A 14,123-nucleotide genomic window follows, 5' to 3' on the forward strand; every position below is an offset into this window, starting at 1 on the left:
AAGCCATGTGGAGAGTTGTACCGAGAGGTTTTAGAATATTTATAACTTTGACCCAGAAATTCTATTCTAGGACTCTGTGTTATGAAAATAACCCATCATATGGAAAAAGCTCCTTTCAGAAAGAGGTTCATGGGAGGCTGTTTGTATTTTTTTTTTCTTTGCATCAAATCCAGCTCCTGCAGGACTGTTTGTATTATTGAAGTACAAAGTGGAATCAATACAAATGTTGGATAGCAGGGGAACAATATTCACAAAATGGAATGGGACATAGTATTAAACATAGTGCTTCTGATGACCGTAGACCATAGACAATGCTTAGGATATGATATCACTTCTTTTGTTGTTTTTTGTATTTTGAGACGAAGTCTCATTCTGTCACCCAGGCTGGAGTTCAGTGGCGCCATCTCAGCTCACTGCAACCTCCATCTCCCGGGTTCAAGCTATTCTCCTTCCTCAACCTCCCGAGTAGCTGGGTTGCGCACCACCATGCCTGGCTAACTTTTGTATTTTTAGTACAGACGGGGTTTCACCACGTTGGCCAGGCTGCTCTTGAACTCCTGACGTCAGGTGATCCACCAGCCTTGACCTCCCAAAGTGCTAGGATTACAGGAGCCACTGTACCCAGCCTAGGATATGATATCACTTCTTAGAGCAAGATACAAAATTGCATGTGCACAATAATTCTACCAAGTATAGGTATACAGGGGTAGTTATATATAAATGAGACTTCAAGGAAATACAACAAAATGCAATCGTGATTGTGTTAGGGTGGTAAGAAAACGGTTTTTGCTTTGATGAGCTCTGTTTTTTAAAATCGTTATATTTTCTAATAAAAATACATAGTCTTTTGAAGGAACATAAAAGATTATGAAGAAATGAGTTAGATATTGATTCCTATTGAAGATTCAGACAAGTAAAATTAAGGGGAAAAAAAACGGGATGAACCAGAAGTCAGGCTGGAGTTCCAACCCCAGATCCGACAGCCCAGGCTGATGGGGCCTCCAGGGCAGTGGTTTCCACCCAGCATTCTCAAAAGAGCCACTGAGGTCTCAGTGCCATTTTCAAGATTTCGGAAGCGGCCTGGGCACGGCTGGTCCTTCACTGGGATCACCACTTGGCAATTATTTACACCTGAGACGAATAAAAACCAGAGTGCTGAGATTACAGGCATGGTGGCTTACGCTTGTAATCGGCTTTGGGAAGCCGAGGTGGGCTGATTGCTTGAGCCCAGGAGTTTCAAACTATCCTGGACAACATAGCATGACCTCGTCTCTACAAAAAATACAAAAAATTTGCCAGGTGTGGTGGCATGTGCCTGTGGTCCCAGCTACTTGGGAGGCTGAAGTAGGAGAATCCCCTGAGCCCTGGGAAGTCGAGGCTGCACTGAGCCGTGATGGTGTCACTGCACTCCAGCCTGGGTGACAAAGTGAGACCCTATCTCACAAAGAAAAAAAACAAAACAAAAAACCCAAAGCACACTGTTTCCACTGTTTCCAGAGTTCCTGAGAGGAAAGGTCACCGGGTGAGGAAGACGTTCTCACTGATCTGGCAGAGAAAATGTCCAGTTTTTCCAACTCCCTAAACCATGGTTTTCTATTTCATAGTTCTTAGGCAAATTGGTAAAAATCATTTCTCATCAAAACGCTGATATTTTCACACCTCCCTGGTGTCTGCAGAAAGAACCTTCCAGAAATGCAGTCGTGGGAGACCCATCCAGGCCACCCCTGCTTATGGAAGAGCTGAGAAAAAGCCCCACGGGAGCATTTGCTCAGCTTCCGTTACGCACCTAGTGGCATTGTGGGTGGGAGAGGGCTGGTGGGTGGATGGAAGGAGAAGGCACAGCCCCCCCTTGCAGGGACAGAGCCCTCGTACAGAAGGGACACCCCACATTTGTCTTCCCCACAAAGCGGCCTGTGTCCTGCCTACGGGGTCAGGGCTTCTCAAACCTGGCTGTGTGTCAGAATCACCAGGGGAACTTTTCAAAACTAGAGAGACTGAAGCCAGACTCCTAGATTCTAATTCTAGGTCAGGGCTAGGGGCTGAGATTGTAAAAATCCACAGGTGATTCTGATGCCCGGCAGGCTTGAGAACAGCCGCAGGGAGTTCTCTGGGAATGTGCCGGTGGGTCTAGCCAGGTGTGAGTGGAGATGCCGGGGAACTTCCTATTACTCACTCGTCAGTGTGGCCGAACACATTTTTCACTTGACCTCAGGCTGGTGAACGCTCCCCTCTGGGGTTCAGGCCTCACGATGCCATCCTTTTGTGAAGTGAGGACCTGCAATCCCAGCTTCGTAAAGCCCGCTGGAAATCACTCACACTTCTGGGATGCCTTCAGAGCAGCCCTCTATCCCTTCAGCTCCCCTGGGATGTGACTCAACCTCCCGTCACTCCCCAGACTGCCTCTGCCAAGTCCGAAAGTGGAGGCATCCTTGCGAGCAAGTAGGCGGGTCCAGGGTGGCGCATGTCACTCATCGAAAGTGGAGGCGTCCTTGCGAGCAAGCAGGCGGGTCCAGGGTGGCGTGTCACTCATCCTTTTTTCTGGCTACCAAAGGTGCAGATAATTAATAAGAAGCTGGATCTTAGCAACGTCCAGTCCAAGTGTGGCTCAAAGGATAATATCAAACACGTCCCGGGAGGCGGCAGTGTGAGTACCTTCACACGTCCCATGCGCCGTGCTGTGGCTTGAATTATTAGGAAGTGGTGTGAGTGCGTACACTTGCGAGACACTGCATAGAATAAATCCTTCTTGGGCTCTCAGGATCTGGCTGCGACCTCTGGGTGAATGTAGCCCGGCTCCCCACATTCCCCCACACGGTCCACTGTTCCCAGAAGCCCCTTCCTCATATTCTAGGAGGGGGTGTCCCAGCATTTCTGGGTCCCCCAGCCTGCGCAGGCTGTGTGGACAGAATAGGGCAGATGACGGACCCTCTCTCCGGACCCTGCCTGGGAAGCTGAGAATACCCATCAAAGTCTCCTTCCACTCATGCCCAGCCCTGTCCCCAGGAGCCCCATAGCCCATTGGAAGTTGGGCTGAAGGTGGTGGCACCTGAGACTGGGCTGCCGCCTCCTCCCCCGACACCTGGGCAGGTTGACGTTGAGTGGCTCCACTGTGGACAGGTGACCCGTTTGTTCTGATGAGCGGACACCAAGGTCTTACTGTCCTGCTCAGCTGCTGCTCCTACACGTTCAAGGCAGGAGCCGATTCCTAAGCCTCCAGCTTATGCTTAGCCTGCGCCACCCTCTGGCAGAGACTCCAGATGCAAAGAGCCAAACCAAAGTGCGACAGGTCCCTCTGCCCAGCGTTGAGGTGTGGCAGAGAAATGCTGCTTTTGGCCCTTTTAGATTTGGCTGCCTCTTGCCAGGAGTGGTGGCTCGTGCCTGTAATTCCAGCACTTTGGGAGACTAAGGCGGGAGGTTCGCTTGAGCCCAGGAGTTCAAGACCAGCCTGGGCAACAATGAGACCCCTGTGTCTACAAAAAGAATTAAAATTAGCCAGGTGTGGTGGCACGCACCTGTAGTCCCAGCTACTTGGGAGGCTGAGGTGGGAGGATTGCCTGAGTCCGGGAGGCGGAAGTTGCAAGGAGCCATGATCGCGCCACTGCACTTCAACCTAGGCAACAGAGTGAGACTTTGTCTCAAAAAACAATCATATAATAATTTTAAAATAAATAGATTTGGCTTCCTCTAAATGTCCCCGGGGACTCCGTGCATCTTCTGTGGAGTGTCTCCGTGAGATTCGGGACTCAGATCCTCAAGTGCAACTGACCCACCCGATAAGCTGAGGCTTCATCATCCCCTGGCCGGTCTATGTCGACTGGGCACCCGAGGCTCCTCTCCCACCAGCTCTCTTGGTCAGCTGAAAGCAAACTGTTAACACCCTGGGGAGCTGGACGTATGAGACCCTTGGGGTGGGAGGCGTTGATTTTTGAGAGCAATCACCTGGCCCTGGCTGGCAGTACCGGGACACTGCTGTGGCTCCGGGGTGGGCTGTCTCCAGAAAATGCCTGGCCTGAGGCAGCCACCCGCATCCAGCCCAGAGGGTTTATTCTTGCAATGTGCTGCTGCTTCCTGCCCTGAGCACCTGGATCCCGGCTTCTGCCCTGAGGCCCCTTGAGTCCCACAGGTAGCAAGCGCTTGCCCTGCGGCTGCTGCATGGGGCTAACTAACGCTTCCTCACCAGTGTCTGCTAAGTGTCTCCTCTGTCTCCCACGCCCTGCTCTCCTGTCCCCCCAGTTTGTCTGCTGTGAGGGGACAGAAGAGGTGTGTGCCGCCCCCACCCCTGCCCGGGCCCTTGTTCCTGGGATTGCTGTTTTCAGCTGTTTGAGCTTTGATCCTGGTTCTCTGGCTTCCTCAAAGTGAGCTCGGCCAGAGGAGGAAGGCCATGTGCTTTCTGGTTGAAGTCAAGTCTGGTGCCCTGGTGGAGGCTGTGCTGCTGAGGCGGAGCTGGGGAGAGAGTGCACACGGGCTGCGTGGCCAACCCCTCTGGGTAGCTGATGCCCAAAGACGCTGCAGTGCCCAGGACATCTGGGACCTCCCTGGGGCCCGCCCGTGTGTCCCGCGCTGTGTTCATCTGCGGGCTAGCCTGTGACCCGCGCTGTGCTCGTCTGCGGGCTAGCCTGTGTCCCGCGCTCTGCTTGTCTGCGGTCTAGCCTGTGACCTGGCAGAGAGCCACCAGATGTCCCGGGCTGAGCACTGCCCTCTGAGCACCTTCACAGGAAGCCCTTCTCCTGGTGAGAAGAGATGCCAGCCCCTGGCATCTGGGGGCACTGGATCCCTGGCCTGAGCCCTAGCCTCTCCCCAGCCTGGGGGCCCCTTCCCAGCAGGCTGGCCCTGCTCCTTCTCTACCTGGGACCCTTCTGCCTCCTGGCTGGACCCTGGAAGCTCTGCAGGGCCTGCTGTCCCCCTCCCTGCCCTCCAGGTATCCTGACCACCGGCCCTGGCTCCCACTGCCATCCACTCCTCTCCTTTCTGGCCGTTCCCTGGTCCCTGTCCCAGCCCCCCTCCCCCTCTCACGAGTTACCTCACCCAGGCCAGAGGGAAGAGGGAAGGAGGCCCTGGTCATACCAGCACGTCCTCCCACCTCCCTCGGCCCTGGTCCACCCCCTCAGTGCTGGCCTCAGAGCACAGCTCTCTCCAAGCCAGGCCGCGCGCCATCCATCCTCCCTGTCCCCCAACGTCCTTGCCACAGATCATGTCCGCCCTGACACACATGGGTCTCAGCCATCTCTGCCCCAGTTAACTCCCCATCCATAAAGAGCACATGCCAGCTGACACCAAAATAATTCGGGATGGTTCCAGTTTAGACCTAAGTGGAAGGAGAAACCACCACCTGCCCTGCACCTTGTTTTTTGGTGACCTTGATAAACCATCTTCAGCCATGAAGCCAGCTGTCTCCCAGGAAGCTCCAGGGCGGTGCTTCCTCGGGAGCTGACTGATAGGTGGGAGGTGGCTGCCCCCTTGCACCCTCAGGTGACCCCACACAAGGCCACTGCTGGAGGCCCTGGGGACTCCAGGAATGTCAATCAGTGACCTGCCCCCCAGGCCCCACACAGCCATGGCTGCATAGAGGCCTGCCTCCAAGGGACCTGTCTGTCTGCCACTGTGGAGTCCCTACAGCGTGCCCCCCACAGGGGAGCTGGTTCTTTGACTGAGATCAGCTGGCAGCTCAGGGTCATCATTCCCAGAGGGAGCGGTGCCCTGGAGGCCACAGGCCTCCTCATGTGTGTCTGCGTCCGCTCGAGCTTACTGAGACACTAAATCTGTTGGTTTCTGCTGTGCCACCTACCCACCCTGTTGGTGTTGCTTTGTTCCTATTGCTAAAGACAGGAATGTCCAGGACACTGAGTGTGCAGGTGCCTGCTGGTTCTCACGTCCGAGCTGCTGAACTCCGCTGGGTCCTGCTTACTGATGGTCTTTGCTCTAGTGCTTTCCAGGGTCCGTGGAAGCTTTTCCTGGAATAAAGCCCACGCATCGACCCTCACAGCGCCTCCCCTCTTTGAGGCCCAGCAGATACCCCACTCCTGCCTTTCCAGCAAGATTTTTCAGATGCTGTGCATACTCATCATATTGATCACTTTTTTCTTCATGCCTGATTGTGATCTGTCAATTTCATGTCAGGAAAGGGAGTGACATTTTTACACTTAAGCGTTTGCTGAGCAAATGTCTGGGTCTTGCACAATGACAATGGGTCCCTGTTTTTCCCAGAGGCTCTTTTGTTCTGCAGGGATTGAAGACACTCCAGTCCCACAGTCCCCAGCTCCCCTGGGGCAGGGTTGGCAGAATTTCGACAACACATTTTTCCACCCTGACTAGGATGTGCTCCTCATGGCAGCTGGGAACCACTGTCCAATAAGGGCCTGGGCTTACACAGCTGCTTCTCATTGAGTTACACCCTTAATAAAATAATCCCATTTTATCCTTTTTGTCTCTCTGTCTTCCTCTCTCTCTGCCTTTCCTCTTCTCTCTCCTCCTCTCTCATCTCCAGGTGCAAATAGTCTACAAACCAGTTGACCTGAGCAAGGTGACCTCCAAGTGTGGCTCATTAGGCAACATCCATCATAAACCAGGTAGCCCTGTGGAAGGTGAGGGTTGGGACGGGAGGGTGCAGGGGGTGGAGGAGTCCTGGTGAGGCTGGAACTGCTCCAGACTTCAGAAGGGGCTGGAAAGGATATTTTAGGTAGACCTACATCAAGGAAAGTGTTGAGTGTGAAACTTGCGGGAGCCCAGGAGGCGTGGTGGCTCCAGCTCGCTCCTGCCCAGGCCATGCTGCCCAAGACAAGGTGAGGCGGGAGTGAAGTGAAATAAGGCAGGCACAGAAAGAAAGCACATATTCTCGGCCGGGCGCTGTGGCTCACGCCTGTAATTCCAGCACTTTGGGAGGCCAAGGTGGGTGGATCATGAGGTCAGGAGATTGAGACCATCCTGGCTAACACAGTGAAACCCCGTCTCTACTAAAAATACAAAAAATTAGCCGGGCGTGGTGGTGGGCGCCTGTAGTCCCAGCTACTCCGGAGGCTGAGGCAGGAAAATGGCGTGAACCCGGAAGGCGGAGCTTGCAGTGAGCGGAGTGAGCAGAGATCGCGCCACTGCACTCCAGCCTGGGCGACAGAGCGAGACTCCGTCTCAAAAAAAAAAAGCACATGTTCTCGCTTCTTTGTGGGATCCAGGAGATAGAGAATAGAAGGATGGTTACCAGAGGCTGGGAAGGGTAGTGAGGGGATGGTGGGGGGATGGTCAATGGGTACAAAAAAAATAGAATAAGACCTAGTATTTGATAGTGCAACAGGGTGACTATAGTCAATAATAATTTAATTGTACATTTAAAAATAACTAAAAGATAGCCGGGTGCAGTGGCTTACGTCTGTAATCCCAGTACTTTGGGAGGCTGAGGTGGGCGTTTGAGACCAGCCTGGCCAACATGGTGAAACCCCATCTCTACTAAAAATACAAAAATTAGCCAGGCATGGTGGCGGGCGCCTGTAATCCCAGCTACTCGGGAGGCTGAGGCAGGAGAATCACTTGAACCTGGGAGGCAGAGGTTGCAGTGAGCCGAGATCTTGCCACTGCACTCCAGCCTGGGTGACAGTGAAACTCCGTCTCAAAAATAAAAATAAAAATACAGCTGGGCACGGTGGCTCACGCCTGTAATCCCAGCACTTTGGGAGGCCGAGGCGAGCGGATCACAAGGTCAGGAGATATAGACCATCCTGGCTAACACGGTGAAACCCGGTCTCTACTAAAAATACAAAAAATTAGCCAGGCGTGGTGGCAGGTGCCTATAGTCCCAGCTACTCACAAGGCTGAGGCAGGAGAATGGCATGAACCTGGGAGGCGGAGCTTGCAGTGAGCCGAGATTGTGCCACTGCACTCCAGCCTGGGCGAGAGAGTGAGACTCCGTCTCAAAACAAAAACAAAAACAAAAACAAAAACAAACACACAACAAAAACCTAAAAGAATATAAATGGATTGTTTGTAACACAAAGGACAAATGTTTGAGGGGATGGATACCCCATTTTCCATGATGTGATTATTATACATTGTGTGTCTGTATCAAAACATCTCATGAGCCCCATAAATATATACACCTAACTATGTACCCACAAAAATTAAAAAAATATATTTTTTAAGGTGAAGAGGGAGGCGAGATGCTGGCCTTAACCCCTAACCCGTTGTTCTCCCTGCAAGCTGTCCACAGGGCCTCTCAGACTCGAGGTTCAGCTATATGGATGCATGAGCTTGGTCCCCAGCCAACATGGGAGACACTTCACCATCGGCAGCAGCTACAGCACAGGAACCCTGGGTCACTGCCATGTCCCCTCTGTGACTTTGTTTAAACAGAAAATGATGCTCTGGGCCGGCTGTGGTGGCCCACACCTATAATCCCAGCACCTTGGGAGGCGGGGGTGGGCAGATTGCCTGAGGTCAGGAGTTGGAGATCAGCCTGGCCGACATGGCGAAACCCCATGTCTACTAAAAATACAAAAACTAGCCAGGCATGGTGGCACATGCCTGTAATCCCAGCTACTTGGGAGGCTGAAGCAGGAGAATCACTTGAACCCAGGAGGCAGAGGCTGAGTGAGCCAAGATCGTGCCAATGCACTCCAGCTTGGGTGAGGGAGTGAGACTCCGTCTCAAAAAAAAAAAAAAAGAAAGAAAAAGAAAAGAAAGTGATCCTACTGGAACCATGCTTACTCCCCTCCCCACCTCACACTGTGTAGAAATTAGTGCTGTCGGCCAGGCGCGGTGGCTCATGCCTGTAATCGCAGCACTTTGGGAGGCCAAGGCAGGCGGATCACGAGGTCAGGAGATCAAGACCATCCTGGCTAACACAGTGAAACCCTGTCTCTACTAAAAATACAAAAAATTAGCCGGGCATGGTGGCAGGCACCTGTAGTCCCAACTACTTGGGAGGCTGAGGCAGGAGAATGGCATGAACCTGGGAGGCGGAGCTTGCAGTGAGCCAAGATCGCGCCACTGCATACCAGCCTAGGTGACAGAGTGAGACTCAGCAAAAAAAGAAAGAAAGAAAGAAAGAAATCAGTGCTGTCTATACTTCTTTCTGCAGTGATGGAAATATTCTGTATCTGTGCTGTCCAGTATAGTAGCCACTAGCTACATGTGGCACTTGAAACATGGCTGGTACAGTTGAGGAAGAGTGGCTGCCATATCGGACGACACAGCTATAGATTCTGTCACCCCACCCCGAGAGTCCAGAGCGGGGACTTCTGCCTTAGGCCCTATTCAGGGCTGATTTTTACTTGAACCCTTACTGTGGGAAGAGAAGGCCATGAGAAGTTCAGTCTAGAATGTGACTCCTTATTTTCTGGCTCCCTTGGACACTTTGTGGGATTTAGTCTCCCTGTGGAAAGTATTCCACAAGTGGTGCCACCACCCCAGCTGTGAGAGCAGCTGGGAGCTGCTTTTGTCATCTTTCCCTGGAAAGTCCTGTGGGCTGTCTCTTCCTCATGCCTTGTCCCATGCTTGGGCATGGTGTCAAGCGTCAGGAGGGAGAAAGGGTCCTTATTTATTTATTTAGAGAGGGACCCTTCTTCTGTTCCCAGGCTGGAGTGCAGTGGTGCGATCTCGGCTCACTGCAACCTCCGCCTCCTGGGTTCAAGTGATTCTCCTGCCTCAGCCTCCTGAGTAGCTGAGATTACAGGCACATGCCAACATGCCTGGCTAATTTTTTTTTTTTTTTTTTTTTTTTTTTTTTGAGATGGAGTTGTACTCTCATTGCCCAGGCTGGAATGTAATGGCACAATCTCGGCTCACTGCAACCTCCACCTCCTGGATTCAAGCAATTCTCCTGTCTCAGCTTCCCAAGTAGCTGGGATTACAGGTGCCCGCCACCATGCTCAACTAATTTTTGTATTTTTTTTTTAGTAGAGACGAGGTTTCACCATGTTGGTCAGACTGGTCTCAAACTCCTGACCTCAGGTGATCCACCTGCCTCGGCCTCCCAAAGTGCTAGGATTACAGGCATGAGCCACCACGCCCGGCCTGAAAGGGTTCTTATTTAGTGTGCATTTTGACATTCAATTTAATTCCAAGGTCTTGTGGGGTCATGGTTTACAGGATGTTGATATAGAAAAGACTTCACTTAATGGGCCGGGCGCAGTGGCTCATGCCTGTAATCCCAGCACTTTGGGAGGCCGAGGCAGGCAGATCAGGAGGTCAGGAGATTGAGACCATCCTGGCTAACACAGTGAAACCCCATCTCTACTGAAAATACAAAAAATTAGCTGGGCGTGGTGGCAGGCACCTGTAGTCCCAGCCACTCGGTTGGCTGAGGCAGGAGAATGGCATGAACCCGGGAGGCGGAGCTTGCAGTGAGCAGAGACCATGCCACTGCACTCCAGCCTGGGCGACAGAGCAAGACTCTGTCTCAAGAAAAAAAAAAAAAAAACAGACTTTACTTACTGGAAGCCAACCAATGTATATTTAGAGTAATTTTTCCTGGGCTGAGCTGTCATTTACTTTTGCAGTATCTCAAGAAGAAGAGTTTACAGTGTAAATATTTGATGCACACTTTGATTATATAGATGAAGCAAACTATTTTCAAGAGCTTTGCAAGGACTTACTTGTATCCAAACACCATTCTAAAGGAGTCTTACCTACTTCTAAAGGCTGGTCTCTACTTGGAACCACTTGCTTGGCCCTGGTTCAAGTCCTGCTGCAAACCTGGAAGTCCTGTCATTGTCTTCTTCCCTCCAGAGCAGTGGCACCCAATCTAATTTTTGCTGTGCCCCAGCAGCCCCTGGCACTTTGCCCTGTAGACTGCAGACCTCATGTAATGTATGTTAAGTCCACAGAACCACAGAAGATGATGGCAAGATGCTCTTGTGTGTGTTGTGTTCTAGGAGGTGGCCAGGTGGAAGTAAAATCTGAGAAGCTTGACTTCAAGGACAGAGTCCAGTCGAAGATTGGGTCCCTGGACAATATCACCCACGTCCCTGGCGGAGGAAATAAAAAGGTAAAGGGGGTAGGGTGGGTTGGATGCTGCCCTTGGGTATATGGGCATTAATCAAGTTGAGTGGACAAAGGCTGGTCCAGTTCCCAGAGGAGGAAAACAGAGGCTTCTGTGTTGACTGGCTGGATGTGGGCCCTCAGCAGCATCCAGTGGGTCTCCACTGCCTGTCTCAATCACCTGGAGCTTTAGCACGTTTCACACCTGGGCCCCAACCTGGAGAGGCTGACCAATGGGTCTCAGGGGCAGCTCGGTTGCTGGAGTTTTTGTTTTTATTTATTTTTATGTATTTAAGGCAGGGTCTCTGTATTAGTCCATTCTCACACTGCTAATAAAGACATACCCAAGACTGGGTAATTTATAAAGGAAAGAGGTTTAATGGACTCACAGTTCCACATGGCTGGGGAGGCCTCAAAATCATGGCGGAAGGCAAAGGAGAAGCAAAGGCATTTCTTACATGGCGACAGGCAAGAGAGCGTGTGCAGGGGAACTCCCATTTATAAAACCATCAGACCTCATGAGATTTATTCACTATCATGAGAACAGCATGGGAAAGACCCGCCCCCATGATTCAGTTACCTCCCACTGGGTCCCTCCCATGACACATGGAATTATGGGAGCTACAATTCAAGATGAGATTTGGGTGGGGACACAGCCAAACCATATCAGTCTCCCTCTGTCATCCAGGCTGGAGTGCACTGGCATGATCTCGGCTCACTGCAGCCTCTACCTCCCTGGGTCAGGTGATCTTCCCACCTCAGCCTCCCAGGTAGCTGGAACTACAGGTACCTGCCACTATGCCTGGCTAAATATTTTGTATTTCCTGTGGAGACGAGGTTTTGCCACGTTGCCCAGGCTGGTCTTGAACTCCTGAGGTCAAGCAATATGCCCACCTCGGCCTCCCAAGGTGCTGGGATTACAGGTGTGAGCCACAGTGCTCGGCCTAAGTCACTGCAGTTTTTAAAGCTCCCAGGTGATTCTTCAGTGCAGTCAAAAGTGAGAACTGGCTGGGTGCGGTGGCTCATGCCTGTAATCCCAGCACCTTGGGAGGCGAAGGTGGGCAGATGGCTTGAGGTCAGGAGTTCAAGACCAGCCTGGCCAACATGGTAAAACCCCATCTCTACTAAAAATACAAAAGTTAGCTGGGTGTGGTGGTGCGTGCCTGTAATCCCAGCTACTTGGGAGGCTGAGGCATGAGAATTGCTTGAACCCAGGGGACAGAGGTTGTAGTGAGCCGAGATCGTGCCACTGCACTCCAGCCTGGGCAACAGAGTGAGATTCCATCTCACAAAAAAAAAAAAAAAAGCGAGAACCACTGTCCTAGGCCCTGATGTTTGCAGGCAACTAAAAAAGGAAGTGGACATCCCCAGTCAGCTGTGGCGCACCAAGAACAAGTCATGGGAACATAACCTAATTTTCTAAATGGGTTACTAGGCACTTAGAGCAAAACAATGATGCCGAAATCCTGATTTCAGCAAAGCCTCTGCCTGCCTGTCTTGGAAGTATCCACATGAGGCTGCTGGGGCCTTGGTGTCCCCAGCAGTTTCTAGTCTCTAGGTCTTGCTGTGGGTGTCTGTGCAGTGAGGGTGTGTGTGGCGCTGGGTGAGCTCTGTCTAGGCCTGGCACAGGATGCGGTCTGGTAGCTGCTGCTTCTCTTCTGCAGAAGCGCAGCCAAGCACCCTCTGGGGTTTCAGGCCCACACCCAGCCTGAAGTTCTGGGAGTGGCTCACTTTCCAACCTTCAGGGTCTCCCAGCAGCTGACTGGGGAGTGGTGGAGGGAAAAGGGATTGTATTAGTCCGTTTTCACGCCGCTGATGAAGACATACCCGATACTGGGCAGTCTAAAAGATAGAGGTCTGATGGACTCACAGTTCCACGTGACTGGGGAGGCCTGACAATCATGGTGGAAGGTGAAAGGCTTGTCTCACACGGTGGCAGACAAGAGAAAAGAGCTTGTGCAGGGGAACTCCCCTTTATAAAACCATCAGATCTCGGGAGACTTATTCACTATCATGAGAACAGCACGGGAAAGACCCTCCTCTATGATTCAATTACCTCCCACCAGGTCCCTCCCACAACATGTAGGAATTGTGGGAACTACAATTCAAGATGACATTTGGGTGGGGACACAGCCAAACCATATCAGGGCGTCCCAGAAAGGGTATAGGGTCTGAGACCCAAGTCAGCATGAGAAAGTATGCTTCTCATGGTGGCCCAGTTGGGTGGAAGTGGCAGCCGGGCCGTCTTTCCACCAGGCCACTCAAGTAGCAGCTGAGAGACCCCTGCCCTGGCCAGTCCCCGCCCTCCCCTCTTGCCACTGCCTCTGGTTCTGAACAGATGGGCACCCTCATCTTGTATTTGTGATTAATGTCTAACAATGTAGTTTTGTGAGAAGGGTTTGCTGATACAGCCTTGCTGCAGATGCTGCGAACTGTGGCCTGGGGCAGACCTTACCTCCAGACACGCCCTGAGGCAGGGGAGGGCACTGGCCCGTAGCTGGCCGAGAGCTCTCGGGTTGCGCGACAGGGATACTTTTCAGCGGCTGGGTCGCTATCCAAAGTGAGAAAACGAGGAGGGACCAGGAGGCTGTCCGCCTCAAGAGATGTGGGGGCCAGGTCCAGTTATCTGGGGAAGCAGTAAGCTTCTCTGCTGTTTCTAACCCCAGGCCTCCCCTGGTCTAAGGCAGGGCCTCCCAGCCTCGGGGCACTTTAAAGATATCTGGGCCTGGCCCCATCCCCACAGTCTGACTGAGTGGGTCTGGATAGGGCCTGAGCATTGGTGATTTCCTGGGTGAAAGGAGGCCCCTCACAGTCTCTGGAAGCTTCTCTGTGTTAGGAAAAGCTCTGGGCTTGACTCTGCTTTGAAAGTCAAGATCCGCAAATCCTCTCAGCCTCAGTTTCTCCTTCAGCAAGATGAAATGGAAATGCTGTACCTACGTCCCGGGGTGGTTGTGAGACCCAAAAAAGACAATGTTCTGGAAGGTTCCTGGTGCGTTGCAGTCCTCTAAGAACCTGAGTTAGAGCCACGCTGAGTCTCAGCTTCTTGGCTCCTTCTGTTTCAAACTCGTCCATGTGATAGCTCAGGAAGGGTAGGCAGGGCCCTGCCCCCTACTCAGAAAACACCATCCTGGTCCTGGGGATCCCCGCAGCATTAGTCC

General features: G+C 52.2%; 1 protein-coding gene across 29 annotated transcripts in view, besides 1 other annotated feature; it reads left to right on the plus strand.

Annotated features, from left to right (window-relative positions):
* Window positions 1-14,123, plus strand: part of MAPT (microtubule associated protein tau) — a 133,781-nt gene that overhangs the window by 113,205 nt on the left and 6,453 nt on the right. For 14 of the 29 annotated variants that reach the window (XM_005257362.5, XM_005257367.5, NM_001123066.4 and 11 more), the window contains 3 exons: window positions 2,552-2,644; window positions 6,485-6,566; window positions 10,860-10,972. In XM_005257362.5, coding sequence (XP_005257419.1) covers window positions 2,552-2,644; window positions 6,485-6,566; window positions 10,860-10,972 — 288 coding nt within the window. The remainder of the gene's footprint in view (window positions 1-2,551; window positions 2,645-6,484; window positions 6,567-10,859; window positions 10,973-14,123) is intronic. The other 15 variants (NR_165166.1, NM_001377268.1, XM_005257365.5 and 12 more) reach the window with 2 other exon arrangements.
* Window positions 1,869-2,372: an enhancer, noted in NCBI's record as "H3K4me1 hESC enhancer chr17:44086993-44087496 (GRCh37/hg19 assembly coordinates)". NCBI's record gives its function as "activates a minimal SCP1, AML or CMV promoter by ChIP-STARR-seq in primed H9 embryonic stem cells {active_cell/tissue: H9 hESC(primed)}" and the evidence as "EXISTENCE:reporter gene assay evidence [ECO:0000049][PMID:30033119]".

The sequence above is a fragment of the Homo sapiens genome, chromosome 17, assembly GCF_000001405.40.
Source record: "Homo sapiens chromosome 17, GRCh38.p14 Primary Assembly".
NCBI classification, from domain to species: Eukaryota; Metazoa; Chordata; class Mammalia; order Primates; family Hominidae; genus Homo; species Homo sapiens.